The 16,788-nt window shown below is 34.9% G+C and overlaps 1 protein-coding gene across 13 annotated transcripts in view; it reads left to right on the plus strand.

The window, feature by feature from the left end:
- DZIP3 (DAZ interacting zinc finger protein 3) overlaps nt 1–16,788 on the plus strand; it is a 105,331-nt gene that overhangs the window by 51,040 nt on the left and 37,503 nt on the right. For 10 of the 13 annotated variants that reach the window (XM_005247917.4, XM_005247914.5, XM_005247918.4 and 7 more), the window contains 7 exons: nt 1,889–1,965; nt 3,615–4,232; nt 6,068–6,100; nt 7,394–7,563; nt 8,369–8,413; nt 10,588–10,613; nt 13,596–13,761. In XM_005247917.4, coding sequence (XP_005247974.1) covers nt 1,889–1,965; nt 3,615–4,232; nt 6,068–6,100; nt 7,394–7,563; nt 8,369–8,413; nt 10,588–10,613; nt 13,596–13,761 — 1,135 coding nt within the window. Of the gene's footprint in view, nt 1–1,888; nt 1,966–3,614; nt 4,233–6,067; nt 6,101–7,393; nt 8,414–10,587; nt 10,614–13,595; nt 13,762–16,788 lie in introns of those variants that run through there. The other 3 variants (XM_047449256.1, XM_005247919.5, XM_047449258.1) reach the window with 2 other exon arrangements.

Here is a 16,788-nt window from a genome sequence, read left to right on the forward strand (position 1 = left end):
ATTCTCCTGCCTCAGCCTCCTGAGTAGCTGAGACTACAGGTGCACACCACCACACCCAGCTAATTTTTGTATTTTTAGTAGAGACGGGGTTTCACCACATTGGCTAGGATGGTCTTCATCTTCTGACCTCGTGATCCACCCTCTTCGGCCTCCCAAAGTGCTGGGATTACAGGCATGAGCCACCATGCTCGGCCTTAACATCTCTTTTTAACCCTGATAATATTCTTGCCTTAAGTGTTTTTTGTCTGATATTAATATAGCTACTCCAGCTTTCTTTTGATTAGTGTTTGCATGGTATATCCTTTTGCATCCATTTACTTCAACCTATGTATTTCTTTGTAGGTGGCATAGGTCTTTGTTGTTTTATATATACAATATGACAATCTCTGCTTTTAAATTGTTTTTTTTTTATTCCATTTGTATTTTCTTTACTAATTTATATGGTTGGAAATCTACTGTCTTCCTTGTTGTTTTTAGTTTTCCCTATCTGTCTTTATTGTTTATTTTCTGGTTTGGTTTATTAGTTTTACCCTTTTTTAGTGGTTGCTTGAGGACTTACAATACATATTTTTAACTTGTCAAAGTTTATTTTAAAATAATTATACCACAGCATGTATAGTGTAAGAACCTTGCAATAATAGATTTCCATTTCTTCCCTCTTTTGTGCTATTGTTTTCATATGTTTTACTTCTACTTACTTTATAAATTACATAATATATTGTTACTTATAAGTGTAGTTTAATTTTTTCTGTTTTGAACATTATATATGGAAACATTTGTTTTATGCATTTTAAAATCATATTTAGTGTGATTCCATTCTTACTATTATAGTTGTAGTGTTTTCATTTTTATTGCTCTAATTTTATATTATTGCTTCACTAATTTAATTATTCTACCATTAACAGATGTTTATTTCTAGGTCCTGGCTATAACAATAGTTTTGCAGTGAACACTCTTGTACATGTCGCTAGGTCAATATGAGCAGAAAATTTTCCAGAATATATACCTAAAAGTAGAATTGCTAGGCCACCTGTGTATATCTATAACTTTACTAGCTTTTGCCAAATTGTTTTCCAGAGTGGTTTTACAAATGTACACTCCCCACCAACAGTATGGGAGATACCTTTTACTCAGTATCTTCCCCAATAACTTCATATTGTCAGAGTTTTACATTTTTTCAATGTAATGTGCAACTAACAGTGTTATAGTGGTACTGGAGATAGAATCAGTTAACAATAACAACCACCACCAAAATCCCTTTCCTCATTAAGCTTACATTGTAGCGTTGTTGTCCAATATTTTTTTGTTTTGTTTTCCGTGGTTCATTTCAAAGCCAAGCCATCTGTTTAACGGCAGCATTTACCTAGTGCTTAGTCTAGTTAATACATTTTGCTACTTTATTTTTTATTTTTCTAATTATTTGTATTGATGTTCTACTAGCATCTTTATTGTTTTTAATCAGTAGGTGTTAAATGAGTTGGGGTTTCTTGGAATAGTTATTGCCAAAAATATTATATGGTGAAGAGAGGGCCAGGGAGGACTTCCAGATTTGCTATTTTTTTGTTTGCTTGCTTGCTTTTTTTGTCTTACAATGCAAAGCTTTCTTTCCTTTTTTTTCTGCTACCACACAGCCTTTTTGCAAGGAAGTTTGTAATGTGATAGTTTTAGTATGAAATCTGGCAATACTGCTTACTTGATAATTCCAATGAAAGTGACAGTGTAGGGTTTTCATTGTTGGTGAGCTCTATTTGTTCATTATTTTTTCTCCTTCTTGAATTATTTCTAGGAGAAGATGAAAATACTCACTTAGCCATGCTCATACTAGAAATCTTGACTGACTTTGGTATTATTTTATTTCCACTATAACTTAATTTTTTTCCTTTTGCAGTTATAGAAAGTTGATATCTCTGAAAATAACTGATACTGATATAAGACCGAAGATCAGTTTAAAATTTAATACAAAAGGTATTATTTTATTTTTATATGCCTTCTGTTGAAAAGTATGTTAAAATTTTTGACTTCTCTGTCAACTTTCATGCCATTAACAACCACGTCTTTACTGTGTTTGTCATTCACTGAGCTTGGGTTTATACCAGCAAGCAGCGCTTGGTGTAGGCTGGAAATCACAGACAGGAAGATCAGCACATCTATGGATCTCACATTACCTTGACATCCTATAGAGAGGCATGCTAGGTCTGGTGCATAGCTGTGACTATACCGTGGGATTGTGTTCCAGCAGAGGTTTTCTACCAACTGTTCCTTCCCTTGCTGCATTCCTTCTTAATAGAGCAAGCATTAGAGTACCCTTACATGAAAGGAATGAACATTTTGAGTTTGAGGCCAAGTTTTGAGGCTAAGTAATCTAAACTAAGCTGCCAGCTTCTTAGGAGTGTGCTAGGAAATGTCCTGCCCAGAACCTGGAGGCCTTAATTAAGGGACCCTGGGCCCATAGAAGAATAGTTTGGTGGCAGTCCAGCCAACTTTTTATTTGGTAACCCAAAGAAAGCTCCCTGTGTCATTAGCTTTTTAACTTGCCTCCACAATGTATATCAAGTATTTCAAGCAAAAACGTTAATTTAATAAATCTCTTGAAACATAGAATCTTGAAGGATAAAATAATAAGGCTGCATTTTGTGACAAACACATATTTTGATATCCATATAACACCAAATGCCATTATATACTAAATTATTAGTACTTTCTAATTCACTTCAGCCGACTTTTCTCCTTTGAAAGCACTGTTAAAACAGGAAAATACCAAATAGTTCAGTTTCATGCCTTATTCCATGTTATTGATGAAATACCTACTTATCTTTTTTTGAGGGGGTGAGAAGATGAGGTTTATTAGATCACAGTTTCTCAAGCATTATACATATATTTGAAATATCCGGCAATTTTGTTAAAAGGCAGATTTCAGTAGGTCTAGAGTGGGGCCTGAGACTGTGCTTTCCTAACAGGCTTTCAGGTGGATGCTTGATGCTGCTGGTCTCTGGGCTACCCTTTGAGTAGCAAGGAGCTAGATCTTTTGGCATTTCTTGATATAGATCTGAGCTATCTAGTATAGCAGTCCCTAGCTGTATGTGGCTACTTAAATTTAAATTAATTAAAATTAAATTTAAAATTCAGTTCCTTAGTCACCCAAACCGCATTTCCAATGCTCAGTGAGTATTAGTGCAAATATAAAACATTTTATCACATGACGTTCCATTGGGCAGTGCTGATTAGGATAAAGTATAATTGTTTAAGTAAAGTATAGTTAGACATTGACAATTAGCATTCTTGGCAAATTTCAGAATTTTTAAAGACCTAATACTGTGATGCCATGTTGTTGCTAAAGGTCATTTACTTGAACAAAACCTTGGATGACTGAAAGACTTCTGTGGTGATTAGTCTTTGTTATTACTTTTGCTTGGGAACATGTTGTTTTTGTTTAGGTTTTTTGACAGGCAGAAAGCAGCATGCTAATTGAGCACTGGCTGTGGCAAAGCACTGTACTATCCTTCATTCTTTTGGAATAGTTTTTATCCTACAGGAGCTTAGGATACAATGTGAGAGACCAAATAGAAAATGAGCATTAATGTGGAATGTCTTGACTTCTCAAAATTTATTTTCAGATGAAATGCCTATCTTCAAGCTTGATTATAATTATTTCTATCATCTGCTTCATATAATTATTATTTCTGGTACTGACATTGTTCGACAAATATTTGATGAGGCTATGCCACCTCCTCTTTTGAAAAAAGAGCTTCTTATACACAAGAATGTGCTGGAATCCTACTACAACCATCTTTGGACCAATCATCCTTTGGGTGGATCATGGCATCTGCTTTATCCTCCTAACAAGGAGTTACCGCAATCCAAACAGTTTGACTTATGCCTCCTGTTAGCTCTTATAAAACATTTAAATGTGTTCCCTGCACCCAAAAAAGGATGGAATATGGAACCGCCATCTTCTGACATCTCTAAATCTGCAGACATCCTGAGACTGTGCAAATACAGGGATATCCTCCTTAGTGAGATTTTGATGAATGGTCTCACTGAGTCACAGTTCAATTCAATTTGGAAAAAAGTTTCAGATATTCTTCTGCGCCTTGGGATGATGCAAGAGGATATTGACAAAGTGAAGGAGAATCCCATTGAGAATATCTCCCTTGATTACCATCAGCTATCTGTCTACCTAGGCATACCAGTACCAGAAATCATACAGAGGATGTTATCCTGCTATCAACAAGGTACTAAATGATTATTTACTTCAGCCAATAAACTTCCATTGATTGAATGTCTGCTCTGTGCCAGGCACAGTGCAAAGGGCAAGAGATTCAGTGAGCTCATGGTTTTGGGAAAATGGACTCATCAGGAAGGTAATAGAAATTATAGTGCTAGAGATGTTTCCAGAATACCATGGGAAATCCTAGGCTAAAGAAGTCCAAAAAAGCTTTCTGGAGAGTATCATAGTTAAAGAACTATTAATGGTGTGCAGAAGTTAGCCAGGTGAAGCAGACTGAGAAGAATGTTTCAGAGGGAAACAAAAATAAAGGTATAGAAACATAAAAATATACTGCAGGCAACTAAAAAATGTTGGCTTCATTGAGATTAAAGTAGGGGAGAGTTCATAGAGTACATTCAAGAGGATTTTTTTGTCACATTAAGGAGTCTGCATTTTTCAGAAAGAAATTGTTGAAGACTTTTGAGTACAGTTTTATCACTTTAAGTGGAGTTTTATTCTCCAAAATTAATAAAGTTTAAAACCATGACATGTAAGTACTGTGTGGTTTCAAAGATGTTCGTTTAGACACAGTGTGGATGTATGTTTCTTCTACTTTCTAGCAGAATCTTGTTTAGTTTACAATTTTAGCAGCTATTCATTGGCTGTAGATAATTTTAAAAATCAGGTAACATTCATGCAAGTGTTTGTATTGGCCACTCCCAAACTTGTCTATTGATACGGAAAAGACTTCAGACCTCCTTTCCCACATCTCAGGATACCTTCTCAGCTATTCTTTTGGAAAGCAGAGTTCAAGGCATGACAACATCTCTGAAACCCTGCTGTGCTATTCAGGATGACTTCCTGGTCTCAAGTTATTTACAGCCTAATGAACAACTGATAACCACACTGATGCTATATAAACATACAACTGTAAAAGTTTCTAGTGAACTGGTCCAGATTTTCTTCAGAGATAATTGATGTGCCCAATTTCAGTCCTGGTATTTACTAAGGCTCTGGAATACCTTTGTTTTCTTGCATAATCTAAGAATGAAAGAGGAGGACACTGAGTTTGATATATAAGAAAGTCAGGCAAGAATTTTTGACTTATAAATTAGGGTTTTAAAAAATACATTTACTCTATTAGGATTTTAAATAATTCATGAGAATAGAGTATTTGAGAAAGAGTTTTGAGCACCCATTCAATTCAAAGCATTTTAAGCAGTTCTTACTCAAGTACACTGAAGAGCTTATTGGTCAAGTCCCTTTACTAGAGGCTTTCTTACCATCTTATATTTCTTTCCTCAGCTATTCTAGTTGCTTTTTATTTGGATATCTGATAATTTGATTAACATCCATCATCCCACTAAATCTCCATGAAGATTGTCTTTTTTTTTCTTCACCATTCAATCTCTAGAGCTTAACACAGCCTGATGTACATTGTAGGTGCTCAATAAATATTAATGGGCAAGGAGAGCAAGTGATGATCAGATAAATCAGATTGCTAAAAATAGGTCCCAACTTTCAGTGGAGGTTTGCTGTGTAATTAACTATTATTTCATGGCCTTAGATGGTAAACATAAATATTCGTTGCTTGGTTTAAAGTGCTTGTGTTCTAGGCTTTATCTGTGATACCACATTTTTGTTTACTTTTTTTTCTCTAATCATGGGTTTATAACCTTTATGTGATAATCTAAAGATTGTGCCTTGTCTAAACTGGATTGATGAGCAAAGCTGGTTATTTTTCCAGTTACTTACAGAATAAATTGGTGCAATATAAAAATATTCTGCCTTAATCCTAGCCAGACATTCATTTGTTGCGTTTGCAATTGTACATCTAAAATTTTTCTTTATGTATTATAGGAATTGCTCTACAGTCAATAACAGGCAGTCAGCGTAAGTATATTTAGAAATAAAATGTGTAAATGACTTTTTAACAAGGGATACCTATGAAATTTTTATTTGTTCAGATAAACTAAATGATAAACTATAATTGTGAAGAACTTGGGCCAGGCGCAGTGGCTCACGCCTATAATCCCTGTACTTTGGGAGGCTGAGGCAGGTGGATCACAAGGTCAGGAGATCGAGACCATCTTGGCCAACATGGTGAAACCCCGTCTCTACTAAAAATACAAAAATTAGCCAGGTGTGGTGGCGGGTGCCTGTAGTCCCAGCTACTCAAGAGGCTGAGGCAGGAAAATTGCTTGAACATGGAAGGCAGAGGTTGCAGTGAGCCAAGATCACGCCACTGCATTCCAGCCTGGGCGACAGAGCGAGATTCAGTCTCAAAAAAAAAGAACTTGGAAAATGATGTGATCAAATCACCACTGGTCTGGCTGAATCGAGAATGAGCTTTATTCTGCCTTTGGCTTAGTGCATGTGCTTCAGGGTTTTCCCAAGGATGATGTTCTAACGTTTTACTCACAAAAACTTCAGCAGGCAAAAATACCTTCCTGCTTTCTCTGTTTGGTGTTTAGCGTGTATAACTTTATTTAGTCTGTCTATTGTTTATAGCTATATACTTTTTTTGCCAGGTGATAAGTTGTAATTGTTTAATTTCCATTTTTGTGCTATTTTTTTTAAGTGTAATTAATATTATTCAATTAAAATTATACTTAAAAAAAACACCACCACAGATTTGTTTGGGATAAAATGCTGGACTCTCTGGAGACCAGTCAGACAAAGTCCACAAGTTTTGAGACTGAGTCTCTGGGGCAATATCAAGGAGCAAAGTCTCAAAGAAAAGGTCACATAATAGGGGGCTCACACCCCTCTTATGAAAAAGAAAACAGAAAAAATAGATCTTTTGTCTTCTTTTTCTTTATATTTCAGATATATGTGCTAAAATAATACTAGTTGCATTATTAATAGGATCAAGGTCAGGACATGCAAAAAGTTAGTATTTAGAGTCTACTTATGTTCTAGAGTATCTAATATCTAGAGTCTACCTAAGATTCCAGTAGGTAACATAGCACTCAGGTTCACACTGATTAGTTCCAGGCTGGTGTTTGTACATATTATTTGGTAACTGATAAATGAACATCACATTTTCATCGAGTAATTGAAAAGAGTAAGATATATTTTATTTCTGTTTTGTGAATGTTGCTTTTTTGGGCAAACATTATAACATTGATAAGAAGCTGAAATTGCTTTCATCTAGATTTTGAGAATTTTGTCTTTTATGTTTAGGTATTGAAATAGAAGAGTTACAGAATGAGGAAGAAGAACTAAGTCCACCTCTCATGGAGTACAATATAAATGTGAAATCACACCCTGAGATACAGTTTGCAGAAATTAATAAAGATGGGACCTCAATACCCAGTGAATCTTCAACAGAATCTCTTAAAGATCTCCAGGAAGTATAAGCTCTCATTAATATTTGAGTTAGAAGAACTTATTCTGGGCCTTTAATTTGTTGCATGTGCTGTACTTAAAGCATCCCAGATAATTTTAGCTTATATTTTCATAGTGTTTATACAGAGCTTGAATTGGAATGGTCCTTTCCTTCCTTGCCTCAGTACTTCCTTCCATAATCTTTCCTGCCATAACCATTTATTTTGCCACCATTTCTTAAACACTTATGTGGCAGGCATTATGCTAGACTGTAATATGTTTTTTTAATCCCAGTTGAAGTGGATGTGGGAAGGTATTAGAAAGTAGAAGAAAGTATAGTCTAAAATAGAGAGGAAAGAAAGGAAGAGAAAAGTGGGATATTTCAAAACCATTTGCGCAGAGGTAGAATGAAATTCGTCCAGAATGGAATCTCCGTATTTCTTTACAAATAAGTGGTAACAGTTATTATATAGTCACTAAATTATCCTTAGATCTTTCATCTTATAGGCATGAATATGTTGCTTTTTAAAAAGTGTCTTCCTCCTTTGTTACATCCATGTGTGTAAGTGAGCATCTGTGAACTTTTATCAGTAACCTACTTATTGACATTATGTGTTGTTCCTTTATTCATCAGTGATTATTTAAGGACAGAAGACTAGGATTAAAATAAAAATGATAAAAACAAAAATAATTGTTTCCATAGAATCTAGAAAGAAATACCTATAATATTAGAAAACAAAAGATCTCAGTGGTGAGAGGAAATATATTTTGCAAAATAACCCATTGGGCAATTTGAATTACATATTTAATAAATAATTTTTTACCTACTAGGTTAAGAGTAAACAAAGGAAAAAGAAGAAGACTAAGAATAAAAAGGTAAGAGACTATAATAGCATTATAATACTGATTATGAACACTTGAGTTAAATACATGAATTCATTGTTAGAACTTAAATTAGTTCAAGTAGACATATAGCACAAATGATTCAATAGCTTACTGAGTATATGATTATAGAGAAGTCTACATATGTTATATCCTGAATGATTTTGAAGTACGAAATACAATTTCATACTTCACGTCCTTAAATTGTAATTTATATATTTGCATATATAAATATAGACTGAATTAGTCACATGGAAATTTCATTAATTTCTACATACCACTTATTTTTAAAATGCGTACTCATTGTTTTAAGAACAGCTTTTTGTCATGTCTTTATTGATATGTTTAGAAGCAGCTTTCAAAACTTTAAGAAATCTTGATTTTTTTCTTTATGTCTGAGACTATGCCAAAGATGCAATAATGTGCACAAAAAGGTACAAATACAAACTTCTTGCGTTGCTGCTTCTTTGATTTTGTCAGTTGCAAAATGAACAAGTCAGTATCTAGCACAGTTTTACCAGTGAGTCTCTTAATTGCTAGGAAAACTATAAGGGAAAGCCACATGTCTTTTTTTAATCAAGCATATAGCTAACCACCATGTTATGCAACTTTGTGGTGAAAAAAATTGTTTTCTAGCCTGAAAAATATATTTAAAATCTTGATATATTCTGTATATTATAAATTGAGTGAGAATATTTGCCCAACCACAATCTGGTGAGCCCATGTTGTTAGTCATTTGAAAGTGTAAACAAATTGTAATCATTAATGAAACTTAAGACAATGAAGATAAATTTGTAAAACACGAAGTCAAGATTTAAAAAAGAATTCATATCGAATCTGATAAGTAAAATATCACTATCATTGTTATATTTAACAATCATTTGTTATAACATTTTACTTAAAAGTTATGAAAGTTAAATTTTATTTTTTAAAGACATGAGTATGGAGATTTTTCCTGACTTTTAGACAGTTCTTATCTGATAAAACAAACTAATTTGTTATTTTGATGATATTTTTAATTTTTGCCAAAGTATTGGTAAGTCATGGGTCTAATACTACATAAAACTGGCCAAGTAAATTCACAGCTGTCAAACCACCAAACTAAGTTGCAAAGGCATATAGTGTGTCTTGCCTTTACTGCCATAAAATTAAAATATGGTAATGCTCAAGCTCTCAAATTTTTGGATATAAAAAAGCCTCGTATGGCTGATATATTCATTGGCATAAAGTTGTCATGGGAGGAGCCAAAAGGGAATTTGAGAAATAATCCATTATGCTAGATGTGTTTATTGTGAACAACCAAAAGTCTTTTCAACTCAGGTATTCAAGTACACTAGAGCAAAGGCAGGAGTCAAGAATTCTAAATCATAGAATCAAATTGGTACTGGATATTAAGCATAAGGACAGACACTGAAACACAAAAATCTTAGTATACAGACAAGAAAGCTAAATGAATTTGTATATACAGCATTGTATCTGTAGAGAAGGAGACCCTGAAGTTTCTTGTATGCAAGAGATGGTAGAAAGTAATACTGTAATACTCTTAGTTTAATATGTTAAATGCCATTGATACTACCTTTATTTGGTATGTTGCCTTTATAGTTTTATTTTAATGAACATAAAATTTAGGGCTTTTAAGATTTTTTTCAAATTGTGATCTTCTTAACACTTCTTTTTCTGTGAGATTCTTAACGTATCAGTCTGACTTCTCCTTATATATAGGTTTTCAAGAACGCTTGTAGTGTAGAAATAAATTGGAATTATATACATTGTGTCTAAAGGTATATGAATACGTACAGACACAGCCCCAATACTCACCTCTATCATCTGAATCAGTGATTTTCAAGTCATGTTTCAAGACTCAGTAGTAGATAATAAGACCAATTTAGTAGATCACAACTGCCGTTTTAAAAAAAGGAAATAGGAATTAAAAAAATACTAGAGTTCATCACATACAATATGAGTAAGTTTTATTTCATGGAACTTATATTTCAGTTTTATACTTAGGTATAAAAGTATATGCATAAGTGCATATGACATCATGATATATATTTCTTTAGTTATGATCAAAAATTTTTTGAGAAACACTGACCTAAATGTAATTATATTACTAGTATGTTGTTTTGATATAGTTGATATAGATTACTAATTCTTATGTTATTTTTCAGAATAAAGACTCAAAAGAAGACCAAGTGTAAGTATTAGTTTATTTAATTTTTAAATTTTTCTTAGTATTTTTAAGGCATACTTTCCTAATATGACACAGGCTTCCTTCCTTTGGGAAGTTTTCTCACTAAGAGAAGAAGGATAGTTCCTTGTCTTAATAATTAACAAGTTGCTGCTTTTTTATAGAAAGTAACAAAAAGTTAAATGATCATTTAACATTTAATTATCATTTGCTTTGGAAGAATAGAACCCCTTACCATTTTTCTGTAAGGCTACTTGAGTCATTTTAAAATATAGTCTACATTGTAGTTACACTGTATTTTAGTCTAGACATTGTAGTCTAGACCAAACCTCAACTAAGACCTAATTTTAAAGGATGCATCACTCCTAGGTTTGTAGCCTAGGAGCAGTAGGTTATGCCATATAGCCTAGGTGTGTAGTAGGCTATACCGTCTAGTTTTGTTATGTCCCAGTGACCCCTTTTACCAAAAAGTTTGGCTTTGTTGTTTTTAAGACTTAACCTGCATTTTTTTAATCCAGTTATTCACAGTGAATTTTGAACCTTTAATGGAAACATTTTAATGGCAAAATAATCACTGTATTTTGCATGCATTGTGCATGATTAATAACAGTGTAGTAGATGAAGGAAGGGGTGGAGACAGTCTAATGAAGAGATCATTATTCTTACCAAAAAGTTTGTTAATTGAATAGTAGTAACTTTGGAGAATTCTGAGGATATAAAGTAAGATATCTTTAAAACAGCAGTAAGATCATATTTTGTTAACTTTAAAGCTATCACTTGTAGTTGATATTTTCAATTGATGTGATCCACTTGGTATATAAAATAGTTCATCATTTAAGTTGTGTTTTCACTTTCTTTGGCAACAAGTTGAGCCACTGGAGCAATAGTTTTGTTTTGTTTTGTTTTTAGGCTGTGTCTAAATGCCATAAATATAGCGTAATAAAAATGAAACAATGTCATCAATCACTTTGCCATTTTGCTTACACAGTGGATCCAAATCTGGATGATGATCAGATCATCCAGGAAGCTTTGTCTTTAAATGAGAATTTTCAAATATACACAGAAGTAAAGAGAATAGTATATATACAATAACATATATACCTATAACTCTGATTCAACAATTATTTATGTTTTTCACATTTGTTCCATACTTCCTTTGACATTTTGTTCTTTATTGAAGTGTTTTCAATCCCAAACATCCTTGTAATTTCATCCCTTCATTCTTCAGTTTACATCTTAGAAATATGAACATCTTCCTATATTATCTCAATGCTGTTACTGTATAGTCTTGTACTGCCTAACAACATTTTGATCAAGGACAGACCTCAGATATGATGGTGGTCCCATAAAATTACAATGAAGCTAAAAAATTCCTATTGCCTAGTAGTGGTGTAGCTGTCATAACATTGTAGTGCTATTACTTTACTTTTTATAAATTTAGTGTAGCCTGAGTTTGTGGTGTTTATTATAAAGTCTACAGTAGTATACAATACTCACCTCTCATTCACTGACTCACCCAGAGCACTGTCCAGTCCTACAAGCTGCATTCATGGTAAATGCCCTATACAGGTGTACAATATGTTATGTTTTATATTGTATTTTTACTGTAATTTTTCTATGTTTAGGTACGTTTAAATACAGACATACTTACGTGTTACAACTGCCTATCGTATTCAGTACAGTAATATGCTGTAACAGGTTTGTAGCCTAGGAGCAATATGTGTAGTAGGCTATACCATCTAGTTTTGTGTAGTAACACTCTATGATATGTTATGACAAAAGCGCTTAATGACACATTTCTCAGAAAGTATCCTTGTTGTTAAGCAATGCCTGAGTGTACTTTAAAAAATTTAGGAATAATCTTGGTGAACTTTTCAAAAATACAAATTCATCTATATTTTTACAGTTGTAGGGGTGCCTAGAAACATTTAATTTTTAAAAGCTCTTCAGGTAGTGTAGAAAAGTAATTGAGTTTGAGAATCAATGGTCTACACAAGCAATTGATTTCATCGAACTTTTCAGAATGTTTGGGTCACTCTAGAATACCTCAGTAATACCTAATTACTGCTTATATCGTGTTTTATGAATTATTCCACAAGCATTAATTTCATTTTTTTCTAGATCTCAAAGTGTTCTAAAAAAGTAATAATGTATCTTAGAGTTTCTATTCACTAGTTAAATAGAGTCATATCACACTCTAAGTAAAAATACTCCTATTCTTGTTGCCATTCAAGGAGATTAGGAAGGAAATTTAGAGCTACTAAGTAGTAGGCCAAGTGAAAGGACAGTAGCATGCAATTAAATTTTAGAAAAAAGTGTAGAAATTGGTTAATTGCCATTGTGTGTGTGTGTATATATATATATATATATATATATATATATATATGTAGTATTTTCATTTTTTAAAAGTGGTCTCTGTTAGTAGTGTAGTTACTGAAATCCATGTTGTTACTGTAGTTCTTTTTAAAAGTTCTGTTACAAAAGAAACCTCCATTTTACAGTCTATTTTATGATGCTGTTTTCAACTCTCTATTTAAACATACATTGGACCTAATCACTGAAGTTGCTTAAACCAACCTACTTGTCAAGAAAATTAAGGGGGAACAAAGAATGTTATGATGGTAAAATAATGTAGCAGATGTGGAAATGCTTGCCAATATTTCTGAAAGTACTGTTTTCCAAAGCAACTGATGTAACTAGTTATAATTTGTAAAGTGAACTCTGTAGTGTCATAATTCTTGAAAACAGTGGCATGAACAGAATTAAACAGGTACCTTGATTGAGTGCTACTTTAAATATGCTAATATTCATTATGAATCTTCAAAAGAAAGACTCAGTATGAGCACTATCCAAACTTCCTTTGATCATGAACCCTTCTAATGCTGAGCATCTTATGAAACCAGTACAATACTAACTTTGGAAGCAATAGCTTAGATGAAAATTACTATACAATTGTAAAAGCTCACATTGATTATGTCACGACTACAGCCCATATGTGGTAGAAAAGGAAGAGCAGTTGAGGAAAGAACAAGCAAATCCACACTCAGTCAGTAGACTTATAAAAGATGATGCAAGTGATGTTCAAGAGGATTCTGCAATGGAAGACAAGTTCTATAGCCTGGATGAATTGCATATTCTGGACATGATAGAGCAGGTAAGCATGATTAGAGAGGGTGCCTGCCTTCTCTTATTGTTATCTGGTTTTTCCTGTGACTCTTTAAACAGCATCACCCTTTGAAAAGCCCAGTGGTTTATACTGTTTGTGAGGAGAAAGAGAAAAGCATAAAAGGTAAGGAGGGATATATGAAGGAAAATAGAATAAGGAAAAAAAAGAACGCCTAGGAGCTGGAAACTTCACTTTAGCCCTCAAACCATTTCCTGGCTTTAATTATAGGGCAAAGTTGATTACAAATGCATTTCTTGCAAACGTTTTTCGAATACCACAAAGGAAAAAAAAAGACTAGCATAATCCTACTAGATTACATGTCATGAGAAAAATAGTTTTGTAATATAAAGCTGCTTTCATTTTTAAAAATTAAATATGATTGTTACCATAAAATGTCTACAGAAAATATTGATGTATAATCATTTTTTTTTCTGGCTCCATTCCTGGTAGTTGTCACTGCTTGGAATGATGTACCTATATGTGAAGAGGCATGTGAACATGATTTAAGTGCTCAACAGCAAATGAAATAATTTTTTAAAAAACTATTTTTTTACCTACTAATGAGAATTCAGTGATAACCTGCTCTGCTGTTTAAATATAGTGGTATGTAATATGTAGGAATACTCATTGTCTAAGGGTACAGTTAGTGCAAATGATTCCCTGGCTGATAGTACAACATTCATATAATTGTCATACCTTTTTTCTCCTAATTAGAATATGTACATTTTAACTGAAATGACATATTCTTAGCTTTGGATGTCACACTACAGTTTAAATATGGGATCTCTGGTTTTCATTCTATAGCCATGAGACTATGGGAACTCAAAGATAGAATTAAAATGACACATACCTTTAAAAAAAGTTTATTCATTTATTCAAAACCCATTTATCACCTGCATATTGTGTCAAGAGCTATGCTAAGACAAAGTTTCTACAATCTATGGATAATGTTTACAATCTAGTGGATAAGTTGAACATTAAACTCAGATGATACAGTGTAATTAAGTGTTTGGGCAATTAAGACTGCCTTAGAATGCAGGCTCCTCCACTTACTGTCTATGTGATTTGGGGCAAGTTACTCAATATTTTATCATCTCTAAAATGGAAATAATGACTGCCTATGTCATTTGGTTCTTACAACAATAAAAGCGTTACCCTTACAAAGAAAATGCTAAAGAAATGGTAAGTGGGGGGTGGAGCCAAGATGGCTGAATAGGAACAGCTCCAGTCTACAGCTCCCACCGTGAGCGATGCAGAAGATGAATGATTCCTGCATTTCCAACTAAGGTACTGGGTTCATCTCACTGGGGATTGTTGGACAGTGGGTTCAGGACAGTGGGTGCGGCGCACCGAGTGTGAGCCAAAGCAGGGCGAGGCATCACCTCACCTGGGAAGCGCACGGGGTCAGGGAATTCCCTTTCCTAGCCAAGGAAAGGGTGACAGATGGCACCTGGAAAATCGGGTCACTCCCACCCTAATGCTGCGCTTTTCTGACGGTCTCAGCAAACGGCACACCAGGATATTATATCCCATGCCTGGCTTGGAGGGTCCCACGCCCATGGAGCCTCACTCATTGCTAGCACAGCAGTCTGAGCAAACTGCATGGTGGCAGCGAGGCTAGGGGAGGGGCGTCTGCCATTGCCAAGGCTTGAGTAGGTAAACAAAGCGGCCGGGAAGCTCAAACTGGGTGGAACCCACCACAGCTCAAGGAGGCCTCTCTGCCTCTGTAGACTCCACCTCTGGGGGCAGGGCATAGGCAAACAAAAGGCAGCAGAAACCTCTGCAGACTTAAATGTCCCTGTCTGACAGCTTTGAAGAGAGTAGTGGTTCTCCCAGCACGTAGCTTGAGATCTGAGAACGGACAGCCTGCCTCCTCAAGTGGATCCCTGAACCCTGAGTAGCCTAACTGGGTGGCATCCCCCAGTAGGGGCAGACTGACACCTCACACGGCTGGGTACCCCTCTGAGGCAAAACTTCCAGAGGAACGATCAGGCAGCAACATTTGCTGTTTACCAATATCCACTGTTCTGCAGCCTCCACTGCTGATACCCAGGCAAACAGGGTCTGGAGTGGACCTCCAGCAAACTCCAACAGACCTGCAGCTGAGGGTCCTGACTGTTAGAAGGAAAGCTAACAAACAGAAAGGGCATCCACACCAAAACCCCATCTGTACGTCATCATCATCAAAGACCAAAGGCAGATAAAACCACAAAGATGGGGAAAAAACAGAGCAGAAAAACTGAAAATTCTAAAAATCAGAGTGCTTCTCCTCCTCCAAAGGAACACAGCTCCTCACCAGCAACAGAACAAACCTGGACGGAGAATGACTTTGACGAGTTGAGAGAAGGCTTCAGACGATCAAACTACTCCGAGCTAAAGGAGGAAGTTCGAACCCATGGCAAAGAAATTAAAAACCTTGAAAAAAATTAGACGAATGGCTAACTAGAATAACCAATACAGAGAAGTCCTTAAAGGACCTGATGGAGCTGAAAACCACAGCACAAGAACTATGTGACGAATGCACAAGCCTCAGTAGCCGATTCACTCAACTGGAAGAAAGGGTATCAGTGACGGAAGATCAAATGAATGAAATGAAGTGAGAAGTTTAGAGAAAAAAGAATAAAAAGAAATGAACAAACCTCCAAGAAATATGGGACTATGTGAAAAGACCAAATCTACGTCTGATTGGTGTACCTGAAAGTGATGGGGAGAATGCAACCAAGTTGGAAAACACTCTGCAGGATATTATCCAGGAGAACTTCCCCAATCTAGCAAGGCAGGCTAGATTGTATTCAAACTTAGGAAATACAGAGAACGCCACAAAGATACTACTCGAGAAGAGCAACTCCAAGACACATAATTGGCAGATTCACCAAAGTTGAAATGAAGGAAAAAATGTTAAGGGCAGCCAGAGAGAAAGGTCGGGTTACCCACAAAGGGAAGCCCATCAGACTAACAGCTGATCTCTTGGCAGAAACTCTACAAGCCAGAAGAGAGTGGGGGCCAATATTCAAC

The sequence above is a fragment of the Homo sapiens genome, chromosome 3 (assembly GCF_000001405.40).
Source record: "Homo sapiens chromosome 3, GRCh38.p14 Primary Assembly".
Taxonomy (NCBI): domain Eukaryota; kingdom Metazoa; phylum Chordata; class Mammalia; order Primates; family Hominidae; genus Homo; species Homo sapiens.